The sequence below is a fragment of the Homo sapiens genome, chromosome 1, assembly GCF_000001405.40.
Source record: "Homo sapiens chromosome 1, GRCh38.p14 Primary Assembly".
Taxonomy (NCBI): Eukaryota; Metazoa; Chordata; class Mammalia; order Primates; family Hominidae; genus Homo; species Homo sapiens.
Window position 1 is genome coordinate 30,226,500 of NC_000001.11, and position 15,380 is coordinate 30,241,879.

Genomic DNA, 15,380 nt, shown 5'->3' on the forward strand with positions numbered 1-15,380 from the left:
AGTTAGTCAAGAAGCACCTAATGATCCAAAACCCACAAGCAGAGGAGGACTTCCACGGACACCTGGACACACTCACGGAGCATTATGACATTCCCAAAGTCAGCTGGAGGAAGTAGCCGCCTGCCCCGGGTATGCAGCAGCATTGAGGGTCTGCAAGGCCACGTTGGGGTTATGTCTATTTCCTTTGGTATATTCTAGAAACATAGCTTTACACACACCCTCTCGTCTTCTGCTACACACTGCTTTTCGAAGCTGTGTACTCTCATTCTGGAACTTGATTCAAGTAGGACTGCCCTTGTAAAACATAAAAAAAAAAAAAAAGAAGCAACGAATGGCTTCTACTGATAACCACAGATAACAATGTTTGGGAATAAGTAGTTCAAACTCCAGGCGTAAGCAACACATCCTCCCTTCCCTAGGCCACTCTCAATAAAGACACTGTATTTGAGGGAGTACCCGAAGCAGAGAGGGCAGAGCAGAGCAGGACCAGGCTATTCAGACCTGGGGGGTCAGGGTTGATGGAGACCAGGAGTGCCAGTGTTCCTCTGACTCTTCAACCACAGCCATTGCTACAGCAAGGGTAGCAGTTGCTGCTGGTTTGGGGCTTAGCTGTGTCAGGCTGTGTGCACCTCCTCATTAATTCTCATCACTACCCTTGAAGGAAAGGGCTATTATGAACCCATTTTTCAGCTGAGGGAGCTGAGACCTTGAGAAGTTGAGGAACTTGCCTGAGCTCACAGCTTGGATCTAAATCCCAGACCTGTGACTGCCTCCAGCCCCTGCCCCAACCACTGCACTCACTGCCACGCACTCCTGGTGTCCATTTGTGCCTATTGGAGGGCTCATCTCCACAACCACCCTGGGAGGAAGGGGCTGATGGAAGCACCGTCCCCAACTACAGATGAGGAAAGGGCCCAGAGAGGGGAGGCGGCTTTCCCAAAGTCACACAGAAAGGAAGTGGTGGAGTCGGAATGGGAAGCCCTGTGGGCCTGACTCCTCCTCCAGGGCACCATCCCCTGCTCCCCCTCCCAGCCTTTCCAAGGAAAGTGCAGAGACAAGACTGGGGGCCTCTCTTCCCCACAGGTAACAGCCTGGGCAATGGGAGAGCCTCCATCCCTCAGCAGCTCCTGCCTGGTGGCCAAGCCCCTCCTAGGTCTACAGCACACCCCATCTTCTCCCCCTCTGAGCCCCAGGGCTGTTACTTCCTTAATACGCCTTCTTTAATTATTACCTTCAAGGAAAGAATCAGGAGGTAAACACAAAGACCTGCTGCTAATAATTAAAAGCATCCCACCTCCCTTACATGCAAATGGAGGCCCCACTCTGCAGCCGCTGCAATAGCCTGTGATGGCCTCCATCAGGGCTGAACAGCTCCCCATGCAGGGTGCACCTTGCTGTCCTGCAGGTGCCAGGGCCAAGCAGGGGTGCCACATTGTTTAGAGTAAACAGGCAGGTCCATGTCTCTGGGGCCAAATGGCCTGGTATGGGCTGGTGCCACAGAGGTGGCTAGAGCATCAACAGCACTAGGATGCCGGGAGACACAGGCATGGGACCCCCTTTAGCCCTTGCACTGCACCTGGGCCCAGCCCAGTCTAGACGCCACCAGGCCCACAAAGGTGGGCAGCAGGGGACACTGCTGGGGATTGGGGCACCTCTTGGGAGGCCCTTCTCTGATGCTATCTGGATACCTGGAGCTGCCAGGCCGGACCTGGGTGCTCTTTCCCTTGGCTGGTCCATCCCCAGCCCCTCTGCTTTGATCATGGAATTTGGCCTCCCCAGTGCTCAGGTGCTTAGGCCCCAGGTTCCTCCTGGACTGTGCTGGTGAACAGTTGTCCAGCCCTAAAGCCAGCCCCAAAACTGGGCCCAGCCTAGCCTGCTCCACTCCACCCCTAGGGAAGAAAGACAGAGAATAAGGACAGGAAGAACCTCTTTTCACCCGCACGCTTCCCCTAGAGCAGTGGCTGCGTGGACAGTGGAGTGTGTGGGTGCCCACGTGGCAGCAGTGCCCACTGGGAGGCGTGCAGGCTTGGGAGGTGAGCCCTGCTTCCTGTTCTGCCACTTACTAAATGTGAGGCTTAAGTCAGGTTACTCAATCCTCCCTGAATCCCAGGTTCCTCACCTCTAAATAATACCTTTTTTGGAACCTAGTTTTCCCCTTGATAAACTACAAAAAGCACTTATACATTCATCTACCTCTAAGCCTGGAGAAGTCAGGGGTCGCGTCTATATTTTGCCACTGCTCCCCAGTGCTCAGCTCATAGTAGGACCTCAGTCAAATGTATGTTAAGTAAGCGCATGGTCAAGACATCTCTGCTAGCCTCAGCTCTCAGCCCTGCTGGAAATGAAGGGCACCAGCACAAAACGCCAAGGCATGTACTTGCACATAAAAATCCCAGAGGCCCTGGAGTCCAGCCTCCCCTCCCGACTCCTCTTCTTGGATGCTCACAGGTCACCTGCCTAAGCCCATCCTCGGCAATCCATCCAGGAAGTGAGACTAAGTTTGAGTGGGATCATGGATCCGATGTGCCAAGTCTTGCTCCGTAAACAGGGCTCCATCTCCGTCCTTCTCTGATCCAGGCTCAGGCTGTTAACTCCACCCAGGCCAGAAAGTGTATGAGCAGCTCATGTCCTGCCACTGGAATGCATTCTGGAACTCACTGTGTAGCCAGGGCTGGGACCACACCTGTCAGAGGGGAGCCCTGGGCCCTGGCAACCAACTGAACCCATCCCTCTCTGGACCTACTCCTCACTGTACAGCCTGCATTTCTATCCTGGCACTCTTTCAGAACAGCCTGCCATCCCATGCCCTGTCTGCCTCACTCTTTCCATCTCCTCTCTTGTGGGAAGGTCTGGGAGCTCATTCCTCAGCTGATGGGGCCTATGAGAGAGAAGGCAGAGGCATGGGTGGCAGAGGTGAGAGACAAGACTAGCTGGACTTCCTATGCCAACTAAGAATTCCTAAGCCTAGCTGGGGAAGGTGACCGCACTCACCTTTAAACACGGGGCTTATAACTCAGCTCACACCTGACCAATCAGGTAGTAAAAAGAGCTCACTAAAATACCAATTAGGCTAAAAGCAGGAGGTAAAGAAATAATCAAATCATCTATCGCCAGAGAGCACAGGGAGAGGGAAAATGATTGGGATATAAACCCAGGCATTTGAGCTGGATTGGGCAACCCCCTTTGGGTCCCCTCCTGTTGGATGGGAGCTCTGTTTACACTCTATTAAATCTTGCAACAGCACACTCTTCTGGTCCATGTTTGTTCCGGCTCGAGCTGAGCTTTTGCTCCCTGTCCACCACTGCTGATCAATGCTGTTGCAGACCCACTGCTGACTTCCACCCCTCCGGATCCGGCAGGGTGTCCACTGTGCTTCTGATCCAGTGAGGCGCCGATTGCCGCTCCCCATAGGGCTAGAGGCTCGCCATTGTTCCTGCACAGCTAAGTGCCCAGGTTCATCCTAATCAAACTGAACACTAGTCGCTGGGTTCCACAATTCTCTTCAGTGACCCTTGGCTTCTAATAGAGGTATAACACTCACCACATGGCCCAAGTTTCCATTCCTTGGAATCCATGAGGCCAAGAACCCCAGGTCAGAGAACAAAAGGCTTGCGGCCATCTTGGGAGCAGCCCGCCACCATCTTGCTGCCATCTTGGGAGTGGCCCGCCACCATCTTGGGAGCGGCCCACCACCATCTTGGGAGCGGCCCACCACCATCTTGGGAGCGCCTGCCACCATCTTGGGAGCTCTAAGAACAAAGACCCGCTGGTAACAGAGGCAGGGGTGTTGACGGGAGAGCAGAACCCCTCCCACCTCTGTTCTCCAAGGCAAAACCATCAACCCTCAGAGAAGGTAGGAGAGTGAGTCAGACATCCCCTCTCCCTGTGGGGACAGGGCTGAGTGGGGAGCAGAGCAGAGACAGGCCGCATCACAGGGCAGAGAAAATGACCCAAGGTGTAATGAGCTCAGCCGCGCGAAGGGCCCCCTCCTCACCCTCCGTCTTGGTGCACAGCAAATCCTTATTCCCTCATAGTTCATGCTCCAAGTGGATTGCTTTTTTTCTCTTGACAAGAGTGTAGTTCATTTAAGGTTCTTTGATGGTTATTTTATTTCTCCCAGGTATATTCTATATGAGAAAATCAATTCCAAGAAATTATTAGATCCATTAACAAGTGCTAACCAGCCAACTGTTGGAGGAAAGGGCTTTAGACCAGGAGAGGACAGAAAGGAAACTCTGACCAGGCTGTTCCAGGAGGAGTCCTGGAGCAGAATTCACACCCAAGGTTTGGAAGTCTTCAAAACTGACATTAAAGTGCATTTTGGAGTCTAAAGAAGGTGACTAAATTCAGCAGAGCCACAAATCAGCCCCATGCAGTGATGGGAGGAGACCCCCCTGACTCAGCCCTGAAGCTGCATAGCTCCCTGAAGGCTGTGAGCACGTTAGTGAACAGCCTATTTGTTCCCATGTCCCCTTTCAATGTGAACATCAGTCATTGCACACCTGCTTGGGCAGTAGGGAAGGAAGAAACCAAAATACCATATCGGCACTGTTCTCTTCCACGGACCAGGTAGGGCAGGAGAATCTGATCCAGGGGAGACCTTTCAGGAGGCAGATCAGAGGACTGAGGGAGGATGGGAAGGAGAGGCAGAGTGACTCCCTATATCCCACCACCAGAGTGAGGCTACAGAAGGGCAAAGCGGTTAGGTGACCGCCAGTGAGGTTCCAAGTAGGGTCGTCCAGAGAGGCCTCCAAAACCCAGTGCCCTCCCTGTAATGGCCTCCATGAGGGCCGAAGGGTTAACTGTGAAGCTCAAAGTCCCAGAGGCCTCTCCCTGCCTTCCCACACTGTGATGAATTCAGTTTGGCAAAGGAGTATTTATGCTGGAAATTTAATCATTTCTCATAATAAAGGAAGTAAAAAATAAATTGAAAGTGTCAAATACTGCATTAGGAGGGGTGATCGAGTGAGGCGGGGGCCGACCGCCTGGCCTTCGCATTGGGTAGTTTCACAAACCCGAGGATTTAGGCAAGTTTCTTTTTCCATAATTATACAATCAAGAACCAAGGTGATGGGGCCACAAGCATGGGGACAGCAGTGTGCTAGAGCTGATGATGAATGAATGCTCAGGAGCTCTGCCAGCCAGTTGTTAAACACAGACAATGTTAACAATTAAATGATATTAACTTACAATGTAATAAATTACATTAAAAACAAAGGCAATAGTTGTCCTGAATGCAAACAAACAAACAAAAAAAACCCAAAGGCAATAAACACTCAAAAGTCATCAATTCCTAATTACGTCATAATATTTTACCACTGTGTATGCTAGTGAGATGATTTACTCACATTGCATGTGTATGGTAGGAATATTAAATAATGATGTGTTATTCCGTGTCTCTCCCAAACTTCACATTTAGTGACATAGCATTGCTCATCTGAAATTGGCCATGGCGGGAGTATTTATACCACAGAGAGTGGTGGATACCACATATCAGGGTCCAATCAGGAGACAGAAATCACAAAAGTAATTTGAACAGGGAAAATTTAAAGAATTATTAACTAGTAAAAGATGATTAATTACTAAATAGAATAAAATAGGATGCTAATAAATGTAGAAATAGAAAATGCAGGGAGAGCCTACTACCTCTAGGGCCAAAGAAGAGTCCCCAAGGAAGGAATGATGTTGGAAGAGAGTCACATTGTTCAAGGCCAAGATTCAGCATTGTTGGAAATGGTATGACTGTGGCCCAGCAGATACAGGAGAAGTTCCCGGGGATGCCACAAACTAGAAATGGTCCTTAGTCAGTGGCCCAATGCTAGTGAGTAGGAAGCCACCCTCTGGGTGATAACAAAGCTCACTGGAAGGTGAGAGCCACCGGGTCACTCTAATGCCACCAGCAGTCTTGCCACAGGAACAAGAAGCAAAGAAAACCCAGAACCCGGACAAGAAGTCCCATCCTCTTCTATAGCCTTGCAGTGTCTCCCCAGCACCCCCTACAGACCAGGTGTAACATTACATCACCTGGCATAGAAGAAATTTTCGGTGTCCAGCTTCAGTATCAAAAAAACAAGATAAAGAAGAAATTTGAGCTAAGAGGCAATAAATTGATAGTGGGCACAGTCCCCTAATTCTCAGAGCATTCATAGAGAGATCTTTTCTAAAGACACCAAGTGCTGGAAGTGGGCAAAGCTACAAGACCTCATCTGATGCCAGAATCCTCTCCATAAAAATCAAGCATTGATGGTAAAATCATCAGCTCCCAGCCGAGCATGCATGTAGTGTATTACATATACTATCTCATTTAATTCTCACAGTAACCCAAAGAGGTGGGTAACTTTATAATCCCCATTTTTTCAAATGAGAGACTGGGTCAGAGAGAGGTGAAATTGTCCTGAAAAAAGCACAACAACTGTCATTCCAGTCCAGTTTGTCCTGATATTATGACCCCCACTAAGTAGTTACCTAATTACTACTTGCATATCCATAGCGGGGGAGCTTATCGCCTCTGGAGGTAGCTCATTCCACCTCTGGACAGCTTTGGCTGTTGAAATACCTTCCTTTGGCCCACACTGAGGGCATGTACTCCCTCTTCCACAGGACAGTCCTTTCTGTATTTGAGAATATTTCTTTTGTCTCTCCAAGGTTCTTCCTTCTGCAGGCGCAACAGCCCTGCTTCCTCAGCATTCTGCATCACACTGCCCCTTCATCAAGTTGGTCATACTCTTCTGACCAAGCTCAAGTTTTCAGTCTTTCTTTTACATTTATTTTCTTGCAAAGGTGGATGCAGTTCCCTCGGGATGACCTTCCCAGGGCAGAGCCCCATTTCCTGCCTCTGCTTGTCCCAACGATCTAGCAAACCAAGTCAGATAATTTCTCTCTGGGCCTGGGTTTTCCTATTCTCTAATTCTAGGGCAAAAGATAAATATGTCTAACTGGGTTTCGGTAACAGTCCACACAGTTACATATGAGAAAGTGCCTAGCATAGTGGTTGACTCAATAAAGATTGGAAGAATCTAGATCTAGTCCACTGATATTTGGAGAAAACCAGGGAATTATTCCCAACCCCACTGAAGGACAGAGCAGGAACTAGAATCAGAGTTTCCTGATACTTAAGCCTGACTTCTCTCATTTTAGAGGCAAAACCAGCTTCTCTCTTGGAATTCGCAACTCATCACATCACATAAGGGTGGCTACATGCCCTTCTCAGACAAGTATCCAGCGTGAATCAGGAGTATATCCACGGCGACAGCCATGACTGGATCAGCCCTGGTCCCTCTGAGTCCTTTTCTCCTCTCCCTCCCTCCTTTGATGATCCTACATCCTGCATTAGCTGAGAGAATTTGTGGGAGTCCCCGATGCTGGGTGGGGCCCCTCTGAGGACTGTTGCATCTTCCCTATAATGATGTTCATTAGTCTGTCTGACTTCAATACTGTTCTCAGGTTAATATGTTTAACTTAATGAGGCATTTATTTTCAGCTGGAAAAGTCCTGAAGAAGCATGTTTTCTCCTGATGAGTGCAGCTGATGAATAGATTAATGCTGGGCTTGAAATAGTTGGTTAAGAAAATGAATCTAAGTGACATCTTCATCAGATATAGGCTGTACTTAAATTAATTTGTGTTAAACTGCTTAGGGGAAGAAACAGGAAGAAAATCCTTCCTTGGCTCTGTGAGTTGTCTTCCGTTTGCCCATTTGTTTTTCCTTCCCTTCCCCACCGACACCCCAGTATCGGAGGATAGGGAAATGCCAAGGGCCAGCATGTGATGAGTTGGGGAAAAAAGTCTACAATTAAGCAGCCAGAGAGTCGAGAACAGAAGGGGCCTTTGTGTGGCCTCAGAGGCCACAGCAATGTGTTCACATAGCTGGGAGTCTGGCCGGTCCCTCTCTGGCATTTAAAAGCTCTGTGGGGTTCACTATTGCAGCCCCAGTGCTCAGCACATATTGCGCACAAAATAGGTATTTGTCGAAGAGTGAGGTAGAAACTCACCAAATGGTAGCTCTATTGTTATTCATGGAATCACATGAGATCAAGAGAAGATGCCTAATGTCCCAGGCACATCTAGTGGATGAGCCAAGGTTCAGTGACCCCTGACCCAAAGGCCAAAGATGACCCAAAGGCCAAAGATGACCCAAAGGCCAGTCTTCTTTGATAACTTGACCAGGAGCTCCTCTCACCTCATTCTCCCCATGGGCACCTGGAGTCACTGCCAGCCCTGAGTGACACCAGCTGGTGCGCATTTTCCTTCCTCCTGGGAGTTTTGGGGCCACACCAATTCAGCACCTGCCTCTGCCCAGAAGTCAGAGAAAATGGATGGGGTTGTCACTCTTTCCATTTCCATCCTGCCTGTTTAATAATCAGAATTCCCTCTGAGGGCAAGTCCAGCCCAAAATGGAAACAATGGAATATGTGTGTTGGGGAGTGGGGGTGGGGGTGTCTGCAGTGGAAAAAGTGTGGGCCTTACAGGAAACAGGGAAGTTCCTGCATCTCAGCTCTGCCACCTGCCAGCTGTATTAGTTGTTTATTGCTGCCTAACAAATTGTTCCAAATTTAACAGCTTCAAACAACACCTGTTTATCATCTCACGGCTTCTGTAGGTGAGAAATGTGGACACAGCTTAGCTGGGCTCTCTGCTCAGGGTCTCACGAGGCTGAAATCGAGGTGCCTTCGAAGCCCTGTTCTCATTTGTAGGCTCAAATAGGGAAAGATCTGCTTCCAATTTCATTCAGGTTGTTGACAGAATTCATTTCCTTGTGATTGTAAAATGCATGGCAGCTTGCTTCAAAGCCAGTGTTGAAGAAAGTCTCTATAGCGCTCCGTGTCTGACCTTCTTTAAAAGGACTCACCTGATTAGCTCTGACCCACCCAGTATAACCTCCCCTTTGATTGATTTAAAGTCCACTCATTAAGAGCTTTGATTACGTCTGCAAAATCCCTTCACCTTGACCACATTCAATCAGTAAAGGAAGTTATACATCCTGTCAACACTCAAGGAAAAGGAATTATATAAGGGTATGAATTATTAGGGGTTATCTTAGGATTCTGCCCACCACATCAACTGAGAGAATATGGGAAAGTCTCTGTCTATGAGGCTACCTATCCTTAGTTGTAAATAATGATAATGTTGCCTTATTCAGGATTTGTAAAATAATTAAATGAAATCATATATATAAACAGATAGGACAATCCAGAGGGCACTCACAGAGTGTGTTAAACTGAGTTGAAAGATAAAGGAGGTGCTGTCACTAGGAACAGGTAAAATTTTACCTTCCACCTTCCTCAAATCTGTCTTCTCTCATTGCTATGGATGTGTTCTCTGATTCTATGTGGTTTCCAAATGGATCTTGACTCTGGAATTCTGTTTCCTGAGTCTTAGTCCTGGTTTCCTGTCTTGGTCCATTTGTGCAGCTATTTTTAAAAGCCTGAGACTAGGTGATTTATAAGCAATAGAAATTTATTCCTCATAGTTTTGGAGGCTGGAAGTCCATGATCAATGTGCCGGTAGGTTCAGTGTCTGTGAGGGCCCACTCTTTGTTCCCAACATGGCTCTTTGCTGCTGTGTCCTCACACAGAAAAGCAGAGGGCAAAGATGGCCCCAGCTACTTCCCTCCAGCCCTTTTATGGGTCACTTATCCATTCTCAAAGAGTACCACCTCTTGATAACACCAAAATGGAGATTAAGGTTCCAACATGAATTCTGGAGGAAACACATTCAAACCATTGCGCTTCCTCTCCCAGCTCCCACACATTCCTATTGGTTCAGCCAACTTGCTGCATCTGCTCTGTCAGGCCTGACAGCCAGCCCCTCTGGGGTCATGCATAACAACCTCACCATGGCTCCTGAATGTTCCTCTTCCCTAATTTACCCAATGCCTTTTGGGTGAAGGCCTCTGTTGGTTCTCTTCAGCACCCTGGGAAGCTAGCCTGATTATCCTCCTCCTCCTCCAATGGAGATGGCATGGTCAAGGGAGGCTTTGGTGTCTTTTATGCTGCACAGCTAGGATGGACATGGCCTCAGGCCCTCATCAGGAAGGACCAGGTCCGTCAGGCCACCCACCTGACTCTTGGAGAATCCTGTAGATCTTTGTGCTGTTGTCCTGACTCCAAAGGTGCCTGTCATCTGTGGGTTCCAAGACTCTGGGGAAAAGAGCAGGATGGGGAATTGGAAGGGGGGGGAAGATTGATTCTAGTAGGGAGGGAGGGATTTTCTGAAGGCAACTGTGTCCTCTTCCCCTTGGCCTTAAATGCACTGGGTAGGGCCAGTCCCTTGCTCTTCTTCAGCACCATTGACAGTGGCCACAGAGCCTTTGGTCCCGCACCCAACTTGTGTGTCCTGGCTTTTATGACTCAAAGACTGGTAGACTCATTCAGGGATTACCTCATTGAGTAGTCCTGCGCCTTTTCTTAGGGCTTAGGTGGAGAAATTCCAGGAGAGTTAAAGTGAGAAGTGACTAGAAGTGAATCTGCTGTGTGACCTCGAATCACTTCCCTTCTCTGGGCCACAACTCTAAATCCTATGATTCTAGGACTCCTGGTTTGAGAGGAAAGATGCAATATCTGTGAGTTACACAGCCCCAAGTGTGACCCTCTATAAGGGGAGGGCCCAACAGGCTGTGAGTCTGATGACCTCCAATTATATTTGTGCTTCTAAGCATTGTAGCCTTCTGTTCTCCTGTGCAGCAGCAATTTGATAAAAGATTCCCCCAGTTGTGGCTGTGTTGATTCATCAAACTAATTAAAGAGATATTATTAAGAGTTTCCTCACTGAGGGCCTCATGAAGTATTGAGAAGTCTTCCAAGTCAAGGAAGTAGCTCCCCGATTTAGAGAATGTTTTAGCAGGAAAGGCCTTCACAGTTTTCCATCCATCTTTTTTCATTCTACAGATGAGAGTTATATTTGTTTAACCTGTTCTTTCTTTTTATTCCTTTGTCTGCTTTCTCCTAAGTAAATTGATCATCCATTGTATTAGTCCATTCTTGCATTGCTATGAAGAAATACCTGAGACTGGGTAATTTATAAAAAAAAAGAGGTGTAATTGACTCACGGTTCTGCAGGCTGTACAGGAAGCATAGCGGCTTCTGCTCAGCTTCTGGGGAGGCCTCAGGGAGCTTTTATTCACAGTGGAAGGCAAAGCAGAAGCAGACATCTTTTTTTAAGTGGCAGGAACGGGACCAAGAGAGAGGGAGGGGAAGTGCCACATACTTTGAAATGAGCAGATCTCACAAGAACTCACTCACTATCCCAAGCACAGCACCAAGGGGAAAGTTCTGCCCCACAATCCAGTCACCTCTCACCAGGCCCCACCTCCAACACTGGGGATTACAATTCAACATGAGATCTGGGCAGGGACACAGATCTAAACCATATCACTCACTATTCCTTTTTATTTAGTCTACTAGCTTATTTATACCTCTTATTATATTTTTAGTGTTTTCCCTGGGGTTTGCAATGCACATTCCTAATTAGAGTCTACCTTCAAATAATATTATGCTTCTTTATGTGTCATATTAGGAGCTTACATTATAGTCCCAATTTGTCCCTCCCATTATTTGTGTTATTGTTGTCATATATAACATTTTTAAACATTCTATAAACACAATTATGCTTTAAACAATTACTTTTTAGGGCAATTAAAAATAAGGAAAAATGTACTTTCTATGTTTAGGGCCCTTTTTATTTCCTCTTGTAGATCCAAGATTTTGTTTAATACCATATTCCCCTTGCTTGAAGAACTCCTTTTAACATTTCTCATGTCTCTGTTGACAACGTATTTCTTCATTTGTTGTTTCCCTGAGAAAGTTTTCAGTTCTACTGCATTTTTGAAAGCTGTTTCTTCTGGTATAGAATTCTGGGTTGACAGTTTTTTTGTTTTTCTTTCAGCACTTCAAAGATGCCACTCCATGGTCTTCTAGCCTGTGTGGGCTCTGATGAGGAGTCTACTGTGATTCTCCTCTTTGTTTATCTCTGTATAGTGTTCCTTCTTTTCTCTGTCTGTCTTCGAGATGTTTTCTTTGCCATTTTTTTTTCTCCAGCATGAATATGATTTGCCTAGTATATATGTGTGTATATGGGTGGGGGGGTGGTGGGAGCTATTTCTTCTGCCTGATAGTCTTTGAGATTCATGGGTATGTGGCTTTTTTGTCTCATTGATTTTGGGAAATTCTTGGCAATTATTTTTTCACATGCTGTTTCCGCCACATTTTCTCTCTCATCTCCTTCTCCAACTCTCAATTACACATATGTTAGATTGTTGGATATTGTCCCATTGCTCTTGGGTGTTCTCTTCCTATATTTTTTTCTTCTTTTTCTTCACTCTTTTTTCTGTTTGTGGTTCAGTGTGGGTAACTCCTATCAATATATCTTCATGTTCCCTGATCCTTTCCTTAGCTGTTTCAGTTCTGCTGAGGTACTCTGGAAGCCATTTTTCATCTGAGCATGCATGTTATCCTTTAAGGTGTTAATCATAGTTATTTTAAAGTCCCTGTCATATAGTTCCAGCATCACTGTGATGTCTGCATCTGGTTCTGCTGATTCCTGTGTGCCTTACAGGCCTCGTGATGTTTTTGTTGAAAGCTGGACCTTTTGGCTCAGACAGTAGAGACTGAGGAACATGGTTTTTATGCCTGGAATCGGACACCCTTCCTGATGCTTTAGTGACGGGTTTGAGTTACTGCAGTCAGGAGTTGGGCTGGATGTGAGATTTGTTCTTGTTCTGTTTATCCTCATTGCACCACAAGCTTCCAATTCCTGTGGTGAGGCCTGTGTTCAGGGTGGAGATTGGGTTGCCAGCACCATGTCTGTCTGAAGCTGTGCATGGGGCCATCCCTTTAACTGGACCTCAGACATTCCCCTCCCTGCAGCATTCTGCACTTGCTCCTTGCTTGAAGCTTGTTAGCTTGGTTGGGGGTGTGGGGCCACTGGGGTGTATTTTCTGTTGCTCTGATTAAGCCTGTCTTAGTTCAACCAAGTTTCCCTGCGTCTCAGGGTGTGGCCCTCTGAACTCTCCTATCCCTCACTGTAGTTTTGGGCCCACTGAGTGCTCCTTTCCCCTTTCTCAGGAAGAAAGATCCCCTTCTTCTCTTCCCCTCAACTGAAATAAGCTTTCACCAGTGCCTGAGGGACAGTAGTTCTTATTCCCGTTTTCTACCTAGGTGAAGGCTTTTGTTTCATTGGAGAGAAAGGCTGCCTGAGTATAATTTTTTGTAGCTTCTCCTTGTCTGAACTGTAACAGACACTTTCTTATACCTCTTTCTGACCTTTCCTGTGAGCATGCCCTGGGTTCTAGAAAGAGCCTGAAAGTTGGCGCAGACTCCTCGATTTGGGGGCTTCACACTGTCCAGCCAGCCTGCACCTGGCCTTCACTAACTTTTTAATTATTCTAGCTGAACTCTTCTGACTACTTTCTGATGCATCTACCTGTGAAAGGAAAATAAATCTCAGACCGCCAAATCACTAAGCCAAAGGGGAAAGTCAAGCTGGGAACTGCTTAGGGCCAACCTGCCTCCATTCTATTCCAAAAGAAGATAGCTATTAAGATAAAAACAACAACAACAACAACAAAAACTATATGCCTGCCTTGCAATTTGTGGAAAAAGGAAAGACAGAACTCAGTCCTCCCTCTGCTCACTGAGATAAATGCGTATCTGATTGCTTCCTTTGGAAAGGCTCATCAGAAACTCAAAAGAAGGCAACTATTTGTCTCTTATCTACCTATGACCTGGAAGCCCTCTCCCCGCTTCGAGTTGTCCCGCCTTTCCGGACTGAACCAATGTACATCTTACATATATTGATTGATGCCTCATGTCTCTCTAAAATGTATAAAACCAAGCTGTGCCTGGCCACCTTGGGCACATGTAGTCAGGAACTCCTGAGGCTGTGTCAGGGGCGTGTCCTTAATCTTGACAAAATGAACTTCCTAAATGGATTGAGACTTGTCTCAGATATGCTTTGGTTTTTATATTCCAGGGGAGGGAGTATTTCCGTCTCCTTTCTCCCTGCAGCCTTCTATCTCTCCTCAGATTTGGGGCCAGTTGTTTGCCCTTTGACTTTACTTCTTTGATGCGTTTGAAAAAAAAATGAAGTCATGAATTGGAAGTTAGTTTAGCTCTTTTTTATTTAATGGTGAGCGCATATTTTTTCAGGTTGAGGGAATTTGTAACTTCAGGTGCACAGCCTCATTTTTATATCATTTTCAACCAGGGTTTGCAGAATTCCTATCTGTGTGGGTCACCTGGATTCTTCTCAGAGGAGACGGGGTTCCCCGGCTTTCTCTGTAGAGTGGTCCCATGGGAAGGACCAACAGCAGAAGGCCTGGGTTCAAGTCCCAACTCTGGCCCTGACTCACCAAGTGACTTTGGGCAACACCCTGGCCCACCCTGGGCTTCAGTTTTCTCTTTAAAAAAAAAATGGATTCAGTTATTTCCAGGACTTCTTACAGCTGGACATTCTTGTATGTTTATAGCTGCAACATGCCCTCACCTGCCTGGAAATAACACACTTGATTCATTAAGAGAACTCTGCAGAGGCTCTATTATGCACCGGGCCCTGAGATGGATGGATGGGAACCCCATCAAGTCACACTTTCCATCCCATGGGGAAGGGAGATGCATGGAATAATGACTTCAACATGGTGGGCAGAAGGCCAGAGCAAGATCAGCTCCAAGGATGTCCATTTCAGGTGTTCTGGAGAGCTCCCCAGGAGCCTGGGCACATTTGCTCTGTGGCCTCAAGACCCATCCCATAAGGCCCCTTCTGCCAGGCCTTGGGCAAGCTGTCCACTCCCTGGGGCTGTTGCCTGGTCTGTAAAATCCAGATCTCCATTCAAAAGCTGGAAGAGGCTTTCCTAGGCCCCCAATCTAAGTAGCCACGTAGTCCTGCCTTCCTTTCTTCATAGCACCTCTCGCTCTTTGATATTATACTATTTATCTGTTTACTTGTTTTTTTTATCTGAATGCTATTAATCCTATCCACACCAAATGTGAATCTTCAGTTCATTCATATAATAAGTATTTATGTCTCAGTCAATGTTCTAGGAACTGGGTATTTAGCAGTGAACAAAACAATCATCATCACTATCCTTCTAGAGCTTACATTCTTGGGATGGCAGCCAATAAATAATGTAAATAAAATATTCAGAATATGCCAGATAGTGACAGTGGTAACTGATGAGGAGACATCAGGCAGAGAGGAGGGCTAAAGAGTGTCGGGAGGTTGGGGTGCAGTTTTATACGGGTGATCAGGAAAGGTCTCACTGAGGACTCACTTGGAGACAGCCCCAAAGGCTGGGAGCCATGAGGACATCTGGGGTGGGCAGCCCAGGCAGTGGAAGCCACACGTGCAGATTCCCAGAGGTGAGAGTGAGCCTGGCATGCTCCAGGG

General features: G+C 47.0%; 1 annotated feature.

Annotated features, from left to right (window-relative positions):
* Nucleotides 3,547-4,200: an enhancer, noted in NCBI's record as "H3K27ac-H3K4me1 hESC enhancer chr1:30702893-30703546 (GRCh37/hg19 assembly coordinates)". NCBI's record gives its function as "activates a minimal SCP1, AML or CMV promoter by ChIP-STARR-seq in primed H9 embryonic stem cells {active_cell/tissue: H9 hESC(primed)}" and the evidence as "EXISTENCE:reporter gene assay evidence [ECO:0000049][PMID:30033119]".